The sequence below is a fragment of the Homo sapiens genome, chromosome 2 (genome assembly GCF_000001405.40).
Source record: "Homo sapiens chromosome 2, GRCh38.p14 Primary Assembly".
NCBI classification, from domain to species: Eukaryota; Metazoa; Chordata; class Mammalia; order Primates; family Hominidae; genus Homo; species Homo sapiens.
In genome coordinates, this window is record NC_000002.12 from 47,020,267 (window position 1) to 47,032,499 (window position 12,233).

General features: G+C 56.7%; 1 protein-coding gene across 18 annotated transcripts in view, besides 2 other annotated features; it reads left to right on the top strand.

The window, feature by feature from the left end:
• The window catches only part of TTC7A (tetratricopeptide repeat domain 7A), a 160,258-nt gene that overhangs the window by 104,401 nt on the left and 43,624 nt on the right, over positions 1-12,233 (top strand). For 15 of the 18 annotated variants that reach the window (XR_007078570.1, NM_001288953.2, XM_047445148.1 and 12 more), the window contains 4 exons: positions 1,596-1,713; positions 3,142-3,199; positions 4,021-4,093; positions 8,958-9,118. Coding sequence is in view for 17 of the 18 variants with exons in the window: in NM_001288953.2 (NP_001275882.1) it covers positions 1,596-1,713; positions 3,142-3,199; positions 4,021-4,093; positions 8,958-9,118 (410 nt within the window). In the remaining variant the exon portion in view is untranslated. Of the gene's footprint in view, positions 1-1,595; positions 1,714-3,141; positions 3,200-4,020; positions 4,094-8,957; positions 9,119-12,233 lie in introns of those variants that run through there. The other 3 variants (XM_017004526.2, XM_047445146.1, XM_047445150.1) reach the window with 2 other exon arrangements.
• Positions 237-737: an enhancer, noted in NCBI's record as "H3K4me1 hESC enhancer chr2:47247642-47248142 (GRCh37/hg19 assembly coordinates)". NCBI's record gives its function as "activates a minimal SCP1, AML or CMV promoter by ChIP-STARR-seq in naive H9 embryonic stem cells {active_cell/tissue: H9 hESC(naive)}" and the evidence as "EXISTENCE:reporter gene assay evidence [ECO:0000049][PMID:30033119]".
• Positions 5,000-5,499: an enhancer, noted in NCBI's record as "H3K4me1 hESC enhancer chr2:47252405-47252904 (GRCh37/hg19 assembly coordinates)". NCBI's record gives its function as "activates a minimal SCP1, AML or CMV promoter by ChIP-STARR-seq in naive H9 embryonic stem cells {active_cell/tissue: H9 hESC(naive)}" and the evidence as "EXISTENCE:reporter gene assay evidence [ECO:0000049][PMID:30033119]".

The following is a 12,233-nucleotide window of genomic DNA, read 5'->3' on the forward strand; positions in this document are numbered from 1 at the left end:
GCTTGTCTTCCAGTGCTCTTCTCACCATGTGGCTTTGGCTTCAGGCCCCAGCAGCCCTCCTGAGTCCTGCTGCCACGTGGCCTAGGAGACAGATCTTAGCATCTATAGCCTTGGGTCCACCTGGCCGGCTGAGGCTGAGCTGTAGACAGCTGTGGGGTTTCCCCGACTATGGCCTCCCATAAGCCCTGGGTTCTCGGGCCTATTGGTGCCAAAGACAGAAACCCAGCTCCCCAGACACCCTCATCCTTCCAGTGGCCAGCCCAGCAATCAGGAAGCAGCCCACTGCCCCGGCTGGCAGCTTGAGCTCGCCCACAAGGTGGCTGTAGGGCTGCTCTGGTCAGCTGAGTCGGGCATGGTGGGCAGACAGCCTCTCCCGCCGTCTCCCTCCAGGCCATCATGCAGCTTTCTCGGCTTCTCTGTGCCTTGCCTCTCTGCTCTTTCAGTTTGCACATAGCTCACCCTGGCTAATAGCCTCTGTCTCATGATCTCACTTCCTAACTCCAGGGAGAGAGAATCCACTGCCCCTCTTCCTGTGTCCAGTGGTCAGGCCCAAGATACCCAGAGCTGCCCATCTCCTGCTAGCGGGATGGGCCTGAGCAGGGATGGGGGCCGGGCAGGGGCAGCACTGGCTTTGGGGCTAGAAGCCAACTTGGGTTTGAATCTCATTCCCTGGTCTCCTGACTCTGTGAGCCTCTGACCAGGAGAAATGCCCATGGCTTGGGGCTTTGATGTCTGGGTGGCACTGAAGGGTTTGCACATGGCATTCAGTCTCTTGCTGTGGGTGGGTCAGTGCCAGTCTTAGTGACAGAGGAAGCATCCCTGCCCTCTCTGGAAACTGGCGTTTTCAATGACATGAACTTGGGCACACTACCACACCAGGCATGCCATTTCCTGGGTTGGATGGGAGGAAGGGGGCCTTTCTTGGAGGCATGTGTGCCATGAGTGGGCATGACAAAGGCCCCTGGCTATCCCTTGCCCCCTAAACCGGCCTGACTCCTATGGGGGCCCAGAGTGTCCCCAGGCCCACCTTGTGCGTGCCCCTCTCTTTGTGTCCCATGTCATGTGGTGATGTGTGCACATGTGACCCATACGGGTTGGTCCATTTCCAACTGGAACAGTCCCTCCTGCTTCCAGGACAAAAACAGCCCCAGGCCTTTTTCCCCTGAAAGTTTGAGCTCCTTGTCTCAGAGAGGGAGCGAGCTCATGGACGGGGCCAGAGTGGCTGCCTGCCTGCTCCATGGGGCTGAGGACATCCAGCAAGGCACATGTTCCTGAGGCCCAGCCAGAGACCCCTGCCTGCCCCGGCCCTGGCTTTCCTCTATGTGCCGAGCAGGACAGGCACAGACACAGGCCCCTACAGAGGCCATGGGAGGAAAGGAGCTGGCCCAAACTGGCCCGGTCTTGGGTTCATGCTCTCAGCAGAACAAAATTTGGGGAGCTGGGATCTCTGGGGCAAGGGAAGCTTCTCCCTGTGAGAGTAAGGCCCTGTGACCTTGAGCACAAGGCTTCTGTTTCGGGAACAGGTCCAGGGAGTCATTCACTGGTAGAGGAAACTCCAACCCCACCTCCATGACCTCTGTCTCTCCTCTTTGCAGCTAGAGGAAGCAGAGCACTTTGCCATGATGGTGATCAGCCTCGGAGAGGAAGCCGGGGAGTTCCTCCCCAAGGGCTACCTGGCTCTGGGTCTCACCTATAGCCTGCAGGCCACCGACGGTGAGTGCCAGGCCCCAGGAGGCCTCTACTTGGGGATGGCTCAGGCTTCCTAACTGCCTCAGAGGCATCTTGTCCTACCGGCACCCCTCCCCTCAGGCCATGCCTCCATAGACACCATGCACTCCTCTGGGAGAGATGCCCATGTGTGCACACATACACACGTGCATACACACACGCGCCCCTCAGACCCATTTCCACTGTTTCCCCCAGACTGTCGCCACCCTCAAGCATGCCTTCCTCTCCCCTCTTCATGGGCCTCAAGGCCCAGCCACAGCTCCAGCAAAGCCCATGCTGATCTTCTCTGTGGAACTCCTGCTTCCTGTCTGTAATGCGCCATCAGCCCTCCACCTCACAATGCTTCCATTCTGGTTCTCATAGGCCTGCCTTTAACCTCAGCACTGCTATGATCTTCTGGAGCCTTTTAAATCCCCCTCAATACGTGGCATAGGGCTGGGTACGCAGCAGGTGCTTAGTAACTACTTGTGCTCGGCTAATGGATTCTGCTCCTTCCTGCCCCACACCTGGCCTTCTCTTGCCAACCCTGCCAGCTCAGCCATGTGTCTTACTCCGTCTATCAGGCAGCCACCTACTTTGATCTTGTAGCTTGAGGGATGGGGAGTGACGGGCCGCCACCCAGACCAAACCTGGAATAGTAATCAGCCCATGCCCACCTCCCCCAAACGCCAGTTGCTGGGAGCGGCAGTCACGGTGACATCGGGTATAAATGAGCCCTGTATAAGGAACACCTGGGTCTGCACATGCTGGTCAAGTGAGGGAGTCATCAGCCCCTTTGTCAAAGTCTACTTTGAGCAAGACACCCTCCTTGTCCTTTTAACTCTACAAATAGCGGTTGCTTTCTAAGCTTTCGAATCCGGGGAGCTCTGACAACTGTCAATGCTTGGTCCTCGCCAGTGGGATTCTGATCAGGTTTGGGAGGGGCCTGGATGCAATCATGTTAAACCTTCCTGGGTAGTTAGTTAAGTGTGCAGCCAAGGCTAAGAACACCTGCCCTGCTGCATTTTAAATGGGATGCAGTTTACCAGAAAGGTGCCTGGTTTGGGTTCAAACTTCCTAGTGGGTCAGGAAGCCTAGGAAGGTATGTGGCCAGGCAGAGGTGGTGGCCCCTCTCTCAAGGCTTGGGCCTCCTGGGTGGGGTGCCCATGTCGTGGAATGCTTGTAGGCATTGGCCTTTGAAAGGGTTAAGGTAGTTCAGGCGGTGGAGAAGGCAATGCAGTAGAAGCAACTGGCATGCCAAGGAATGTGCTAGAAGCCAGGGCATTGGCCCAGGCTGCTGGAGTTTGAAGTTTGCCAGATGGGACCCTGGTGGGGCCTTTATCTGCAGAGCTGTGTGCTTTGAGGATGGTGCAGGGCTGGGCCGGCACCCTTCAGTGACCCCTGATGGCTCAGTTTCTGTCCTGTCCCCTGCAGCCACCCTGAAGTCCAAGCAAGATGAATTGCACCGGAAGGCACTGCAGACGCTGGAGAGGTGAGGAGGCTCCCACCTGCAGCAGAGGCCCCTCTTGCCTTTGGTGGCAGATTCACAAGCTTTACGTCATCAGACCCTCTGATGTGGGCAGAACAAACATTTCTATCTCCATTTTACAGATGAGGGAACTGCACACAGCAAGCAGGGATAGGCGTTGGGGATTGGGCAGGCAGCCGAGCCCTGCCTTCAGCTCTGGGGGGCTCCAGCAGCCACAAGTCTCGGTTCCTGCTCTCCCAGGGCTCAGGGGTCTAAAATGGGTATAGTAACCCATTGCTGTTGTAGTAATTACAGAAGATAAAGCAGAAAAAGCACCTTGCACAGTATCCTATGTGTAACAGGGGCTCAAAAATGGCATTCACCTCCTTCTAGCTCCTCCCCAGCCACCCCTCCCACTAAACCCACCCACCCCTTCCACCATCCCCAGCCCCTACAGGGATTTCCTGGCATATGCTCAGAGCAGTGAGGCTAGCTTCTCTGCCCTGGTGCCTGACTTGTCACTCCCTCTCTGCCCATGGGTTGTATATTCATCCCATCGTCTTTCTTCTTTGGGGTCTGTCACCCCAGGGCTGCCCTCCCAGATGGCCCCTACCTCAGTGAGTGCCAGCCCCCTCAGGCCCACCGTCCCTGCCTTGGGCTGCCTGTGGGCCGCCTTCCTTGGTCTTCATCTGCCAGCTGGATGCCCCTCTGAGGCAGAGCCTGGCAGAATCCCCCAGGGTATTGCCTCATAGCGCCCAGCACAGGGCTGGCATGCTGGAGGCCCGAGTCACACGTTGGTCACTCAACCCCTGGTGCCTGACTTGTCACTCCCTCTCCCCACACAGGGCTCAGCAGCTGGCGCCCAGTGACCCCCAGGTCATCCTCTATGTCTCGCTGCAGCTGGCCCTCGTCCGACAGGTGGGTTGTCCGTGTTCCTAACCCCCGGGTCCTCGGGGGCTGCTGATCTTCTCCTGGAAACCCAGCTTACCAGCTGTGTGACCCTCTGCAAGTGACTTTGCCTCCCTGAGTTTGTTTCCTTATCTGTCATGTAAGTCCTTTGAGCCCTCATCAGAGGGGCCAGTAAGGATGAGGTCAGGTAATGTGGGTAAAGCCGTGGTGGGTACACAGGAAGGGCGTGTTCTCCGCCCTCACTCCCCCTACAACATTTCAGTGGACTGAGATGTTGATGAGTGACCACCTGTCACTCATTTATTTGTGTCCTCGCCTTCCACTGGCTTTTCCCCAAGGGTCTTGGGGATGGAGTGATGGGCAGGCTCATGGAGCTGTTGCATGTTGGGCTTTCTCTGTGACCCCCAAGCTACTCCTTCACTGTGTGGACACCACCATCAGGCCTTGGCTTCTGGGGCCCCATAGGGACCTCCTGTCTGCTGACTACCTTAGCCCCAGGACCACCTCCACCATGACTCTGCAGGCAGACCCGCCTTTTCCCCAGGGGTGCTGAGAGAATGCTGGTGTGTCCAGGACTCCCCACCTCAGGTCCTTCAGAGCCTCCTTTACTTTCCTGTGGCGCCTCAGCCTGCAGGCTGGCGCTCTGGGCATGCACACATCCTCCAAAACAGGACCTCTCAGGTGGCTTGACCCTGATGCCTGCCGATGCCCCCACCTGACTGCCTGGGGATTGCAGACAAGCCTTTGGCTCTCACAGTGGAGCTCTCCTTGCCGGAACCACCCAGGAAATGGGCTGAGCTCCAGGCCGGCGGAGGGAAGCCCGAAGAAGCCCATGTATTTGCTGTCAGGTGGAGGGCAGCCCTGCCTGCTGGGGATGGTGCTGTGTCCCCCATACCAGCCTGGGGAAGCCCTACCTTCTGAGGAGCGGGCCACAGCAGTCCCATTTTTTACCGGAGGACACCACTGAGGCCGAGCCAGCATAGAACCCAGGCCTCTCTGATCCACAGCCCACGGGGTCTAGGTACCCCGCTCCCCTGACCCTTTTGGAGTTGGGGCCCTGAGAGCATGCTCACCAGCCGGGGCTTGGTCTTATGGTCACTTCGGCGGGCTGCATTTCTCCTGCCTCTGGGGCAAGCCAGGCTCTGCCCTGCGTCAGCCTGGCTCCTCCTCTCGTCACAGTTACTCTCAGTGCTGGGACCCCTTCCCTCTCACCCCATGCCTAGACCCTTGTCCCGGTGCCTGTGTCTGTCCTGACCTGACCTGAATTGTCACTCTGTTTCTGAGGCATTCTGTCTCCCTCTCCAGGTTCTTCTGTCTCAACCATTTTCTCCCCAACGGCCCTGATGTCATCCTGGCTGTTGTTTCCACTGTCGTCGGTGGCTTCGCTCCCTTCCTCTTGCACTGCCCCTCCCCCTGTGACTCCCTCCATCCTCCTCCACCTCTAGGCTGCGCCCCCACCCTGTCCCCACTCCTCACTCCTGACCCCAGGTCCTGGACAGGCACGGGGCACCTCTGTGCCCCTCCAGGAGCATCCCTCCCCTCCCAGGAATACCAACTTTATTTTTAGTTCCCTGTAAAAGAACCAGTGCTTTTCTTGCTAATCTAGTGAACGATAAACCTTTGGTGATGCATTTTTTAACCTGTTCAGTTATTCATCCCTCTCTGATGAATAGCATCCATCCTCCTAGAGAGATGGCGGGCCAGGCCAGCGGAGCCAGTGGAGCCTAGGGCCCAGTTTCCTTGGAGACCTCATTTTGGCAGCCTCAGGGAGTTGAGAACTCGAGAACTCCCTGAATGGACTGTAAGCTAGAGTCCTAGCCTGCCTGGGTCTCTGAGGCCCCCAGCCAGCCCATCCTGCCAAGAGTACATCTGGCTGGCCGGCACAGTGATGGCTGTGGATTTGGATACGTAGCCCAGGATAATCAGGTCTGCTCTAGCAGAGTCACCAGCACAGGAGCAGCCTTAGGGCCACCGACAAGCCGAGCCAGTGGCCCCACTGATCTTAGTGTCCTCCTCGTATGCTCCTTGACCTATCCACAAAGTAAGGTGCCCGGGGAGAACTCCGGGCCTGGCACTGGTGCCCACAGCCTGCACAGAGGCCAGGCTGGAGACCAACACAGAAGCCAGGCAGACTGGGGACCCAAGGCCCCGCGAGAAGGGTGGAAGGCTGGGTCTGAGGTTTGGCAAGGAGCAGGACTCTTAAAAAGAGACTCATGGGGTTCCTGCAGGGATGGAACGCTGACATGGAGTCAGTCACAGGAGCTAACGCAGCTCCCAGGCCTGAGAGCACGTGCCTTCAGGCTGGAAGGAAGGTTCTGTCCTATTCCTTAGTTTTCTGGCTTTGGGGCTTGAAGAGGGAAACGCACACTTTAAAAGTGTTTGTTCCACCAGTACTTTGCAAGGCATTTTTCATAGTGTCTCATCTTCATGGACACTGAAATAGGTTTAACCATTATCCTCGTTTTGTAGCAGAGAAACTGCAGCTCAGAGAGGTGAGTCCTCTTGCCCTAAGGTGCCAGCTGGGAAGTGGCAGAGCCAGGAGCCACACCCCAACCTCACCCCAGAGCCTCTGAGCAGGAGAGGGTGTTTATCTGTCAGCCACACATCAGATTCTTTCCACATCACCGCGTGAACATGTTCAGAGGGGAGGGCCTCGTCAGCCCTGGGTATGTAGCTGGCAGATTCTTTATCCCAGGGCCAGGCCTTCCTGGCCCTCCACCCTCCAGCCTGCCGTAAGTTTCTCTCCCAACCCTCTCTTTCCAGACCTGGTCACAGCCTTTCTACAGGGTGCAGAACCTCAAGCTAAGGGCACTGCTCAGTGAAGCAGCAGTGTGTGGGGGAGAGGATTCCCTGCATCCTGGGGAATCAGGCCAGGTTGGAGGTGCTAGGAATCAGGGATGAGGAGGAGAAGGCCAGCTGGGCCCTGCCGTGCGCCTGGACCCACAGCACAAGGAGGGCTGGCCTTGACCTGCGACAGCTTTGAGGCCAGGCCTGTCACTCACCAAACACAGGCTTAGCAGCCTGCATAGCTCACACAAGAGCACTTGGCCTGGAGTCAGGACCCCCACCTGGGAGCGCCTGCTCTGCTGCTAACTTGCTCTGCTGTGTGAAAAGAATGGAAGGGATAGAAGATAGCATTTTTGCATGTACATTAGCTCTTTGAACCCTTCTGTGGAAAAGCATATGCCTAATTTGCAGATAAGGGAACTGAATTCAGAGAGAATGAGGGACAAAGGTGAGTGAGCGGCAGCACCAACTCTAGAACCCAGCTCTTGTGTATTCACAAATATAGGACCCCTCCACTTGCCAAAACGAGCAGGATCAATCAGCTCAGATGACAGGCAGCAGGTGGGGGCTGCCTCAGGCAGGGCATGGTGCAGGGGTGCCCAGCAGGGTGCAAGGGCCAGGGACTCTGGGGTGTTTTGTAGAGAACGAGGAGATGACGTAAGGGGGGCAGCGGGCCACCTCACAGGTCACATGGGACTGCGTAAGGGGCTGCTATAGTCACCAGGACTGGCAGCCTCTTTTGAAGAAGAGAGTTTATGTTGGTAACTGCCGGAATTCTTTTTTCTCCTTAATGCTTGTGGAAACATTCCCCAGACCCTGTCAGGAGTGCGCAGGCCAGGGCCCATGGGGTGGGGAGCTTTTTCTCTGAGGGTAGTAACCTCCACAGCTGAATGTAGATGGGTCTGGGGAGGTAGAATCGGAGGCAAGGAGAGGGGCCTCGGGTGTCTTTTGCATCCAGGGGACTCTTGGGACCCATCCTGGGGGTGTTGTGTTGTGCTGAGAATGGTCTCTTCAGGAAAGGGCTCCTTGAACCTTCCATATCCTCCCATAAGTCCAGCTATGGGCAGAGACCCATCCTGGCAAGGTGGCAGGCAGCCAAGCAAGTGTGTGGTCTCAGCCCTGAAATAGTCCCCATAGGATGTGCTGGGGCACTGACTGACCCCATAACCCTGTTACCACTTGCAGGTGGGGCCCTGGCCACAGCTGCAAATCACCCGTGCCCTCTGCAGCCAGATCCAGTAGAACATTGGAGTCCTGCCTGCAGGGTTGGCGGGAGCAGTAGAAGGTGCCCTTCCATGCTGCACCAGCCCCTCCTGGGCTCACTGACTGGGCTACTGGAGCAGCTGGGGCCTGCCCTCTTTCATGCAGTGCTCCGAGAAGGGAGGCAGCAAACTCAAGCCAGTGAAAATTGGGACCCATGGTGACCTCTGGTCTCCCCACCACATGGAAGGAAAGGCTTTCCTGAGGCCACATCCAAATCCAGACCCTTAGAATGTGGCTTTCCTGACCCTGCATAATCTGGCCTCATCCCATCTGTCCAGAACCAGGCTTAATAAATATTTGTTGAATTGAAAACAAAACACAAGACTAGAATCTGGATTCTAGTCCCAGATTCCCACTGTGCCCACATTAGAGGCCAGTCTCCCCATCTTCTAGGCACTTGCCTCTGCACACTTCCCTTCCTGTGGTCAAGCTGCACCCCCTACCTGGAGCACCCCATTTTCATCATCTCCTCCTGGAAGGCAGGGTCTCCTGATACATCAGCAGAACTCCAGGGTGACGTTTCCACACATGGCTGCCTCACCCTGTGGCTTCCACTCCTCCCATTTAGGAAGTGCTTCCTGGTGGCTGCCATGGTCCTTTGTGCCACACCACAAACCTGCTTCTCTTCATTCCTGAGTGTGGCAGCAGACCCCTCCTCGCCAGGCCATCTGGGGCAGGTGTTTTCTCACAGCAGCCTCCCTGCCCCCAGTGCCTGGGGCTCCCTTGAGTTGAGTGTGAGTGCCCTTGTTGACTGGCACGTGGCTCCTGAGTCCCAGGGCAGCATGTGCCTGGGGAAGGCTAACCTGGCGGGTTCCTTCAACAGATCTCCAGTGCCATGGAGCAGCTGCAGGAGGCCCTGAAGGTACGCAAGGATGATGCCCACGCCCTCCACCTGCTGGCACTGCTCTTCTCTGCCCAGAAGCACCACCAGCATGCCCTGGATGTTGTCAACATGGCCATCACCGAGCACCCTGAGAACTTCAAGTGAGTGCCCTGGGAACACTCTGGCAGTGGGGGAGCTGGCTGGCCTCTGCAGCAGGCGCCCATGCACACCTGCCCTGCCATGGTGTCAGCCAACACACATGAAGTAAGCACCCGCTGCATGCACAATCCCTGGTGGAGAGACAGGGGTGAGGACAGGTGGGGTCAGCAGACAGCTGTGGTGCTCTGCACCAGGAGGTGCCTGGTGGGTAATGGGGTGCACATGCTGCTCCTCAGCCCCCATGAGGTGGGGTCTGCATGGGCCACAAAGGAGACTGCTTGAATGCATGTGTTTGGGCTGCTTCTGCCTGCCCTGGGCTCTGCATCAGCCTCAGGATGACAGTAACTTGTGTAAGTTAATCATAGCCCTGACACAGTCAGCCAAGGATGGGATTCTAACATGAGCTGGGCTGGCAGCTGGAGACGGGTTATGGCCCTCCAAGGTGGTCCTGCTCCTTCATACCTCCCCACCTCCCTCATTTACTGCATCAGCCAGATGTCCCACTTCTTGGAGCAGGGTTTAAGTTGCACTTGGCCTAAGTGGTGGTAGGACACAGAGGACCTGCTGCCACCCAGCCAGGACACTGGGAACAAGGCCGTGCTGGGCCACCTGAGGTGAGAGGATGTGTTGCTCTGTCAGGGGAGTTAGGGGGAGTCTTGATTTCTGCCTTCTGCCCCTAAGGGCAGGTGACACTGAGTGTAACAGGCTTTGTTTCTCAGAACCCTGTGATCCCAGATGAGGGACCCCTAAGTAACCCACTTCCCCCTGTTCCACCTTAGGGTCTGAAGGAAGGCAATTTAGAACCAGCCCAAGGCTGTCCCCCTGCAGACAGCAAGGAAGAAGCTAGAGTCCTGGCTGCCCTGATAGGTGACTCACGCTGTGTAAACAGGTTCACAAAGGATTAGGAAAAAATTGCTGGGTGATGAAGGGAAGCTTCAGTGGTGCCAGCCTAGGGAGGTTCCCATCACTGGGCTTTCACCTCTGTCCATCCCCAGCCCATCAGAGGCAGGGCTGACCACAGGGGTGGGTTCAGGTTTTCCTGCATCCTTGGCCTCCTTCAGACGACAGCACATAGTTCTGCTTGTGGCCTTTGCCAGCGTGCCGAGCACTGCTGTTGATGGCTTCCTTCTCCCCAAAGCTAAAGAAAGGTGCTTTGGGAGTGGCAGTGTTTCCTAAATATAAACCCCATAATGTGCCTCCCTGAAGAGGGGAGTCCCAGTGGCCAAGGCCAACAATGGGTGTTCATCCTGCTGGTCAGCCTGGTCTGCAGCCCCAAGACCCTTGAGCCTTGACCTGCTTGCCCTAGTCCACACTAACCCCTGCCCCGCCTGTTCCCCCTCCATCCTGGCCTAGGCAGGTCCCCACTGCTCACAGCCAGGTGTAAGCAGAGTGTGTGGCCAACTTGACACAGCCTGTCTTTTATGTTCGTGGCCGGCCCTGATTCTGAGCCTTGCCTCAGCAGCATTCAAGAGACTACTAAAGGCCAGGCGCAGTGGCTCATGCCTATAATCCCAGCACTTTGGGAGGCCGAGGCGGGTGGATCACCTGAGGTCAGGAGGTTCAAGACCAGCCTTGCCAACATGGTGAAACCCTATCTCTAATAAAGATACAAAAATTAGCTCGGTGTGATGGCAGGTGCCTGTAATCCCAGCTACTCATGAGGCTGAGGCAGGAGAATCACTTGAATCTGGGAGGCAGGGGTTGCAGTGAGCCGAGATTGCGCCACTGCACTCTAGCCTGGGCGACAGAGCGAGACTCAGTCTCAAAAAAGAAAGAGAGAGAGACTGCTAAAATTCCAGTCACTTCACCCGCAAAGGCGAGTAGCTTAGGAAATCCTAACACAGAGAAAACAGTGTGTGGACAAGGGATTAGTTGCCTTGTCTTGTTAATCCCAAGTACAGTACAGTAATACAAGGTAAGAACATTTTATTTTTAATGAAAATGCACAAAAGATGTAGGTTCCCCACTCCTAGTGCCAGTAACCTTGCTTTGATCCCAGCTCCATCTGCGCACCTCTCTGGCAGGGTCTGACCCACTACCGCTGGCCTGCGTGCCTGTGTGTGTTTACACTTCAGTTAGGCTTCATCGGAAACCGAAATGGCCAAGCAGAAAGATTTAGAATCTTAGGCTGGAGAAAGGAAAGGGCTCTTTGTCCACCCTGGGTCTGTGGAGCATTGGAGAAGCAAGAGGCCTGCCTCAGCTCGGCATCAGAATTTCCTAATGAAATCTTCCTTGGAAACTGAGACTGTGATGCAGGCGGGAGCACCGCTGCTCTGATGGAGCCAAGGAAGGTGATTTGTACCTGCCCAGTTCCAGCTGAGGGGGCCCCTCCATCCCAGCACCTGACATCTCACCCCTCAGCATCTCTTGCTGACTTCTGAGCTGATTGCTTTCTGCCAGGCTAAAGCAGCTCCCCTGGCCTGCTGTGGGGAGGCTAACTCCCTTTTTTGGAAATCTGGCTGCAGCCCAGGCTGTGTGAGGTGTGGCAGAAAATGGGGTCTGCCCAGCGTGGGGGACCCACTCGTGGCTCCCCATCAGCTTCCTTGACTCTCACCCCAGGGGTGCCTCCTGCGTTCATCTTCCCAGGCTCTTGGACTGGGCTAGGAAGCTGTCCCTCTCCCTGCGGGCAGTGTGTGCCCCTGCTGCTGCCCTGCCTCAACACGTGCACTTTCCACCCTTCCCTTCCTCCCAAGCTTACTCAGGTGCTGACTCCTTCCCCAGGAAGTGCTCCACTCACTGACAGTGCCGTTGGTCAGGGGCTGCCTTGAGGTTGGTGACTGCCCCCAGGAGGCCCAAGGGTGGACATCTGGGTCTCCAAGAACCCCTGGACCTGAACTATGACATTTTGTGCATGTGAGCCTGAGTCCATGGAAATGGCTTTCAGCAGATTCTCAAAGGGAGCCCGACCTCAAAAAGGTTGAGGAGCCCTGGTGCAGACTGTGCTGGTTGTCAATGTGCAGAGTAACTGTGCCCCTGTCTCGGGTGCTTCCCCAAGGCTTGCAAGGAGCTTCCTGGAGAGCAGTGTCTGCAGGCAGGAACCTCTGCCGTGGGAACAACTCACCCATGCAGACATCGCAGAGCGACTGCAAGGGCTTCAGGAGCTGTGGAGGGTGGGGC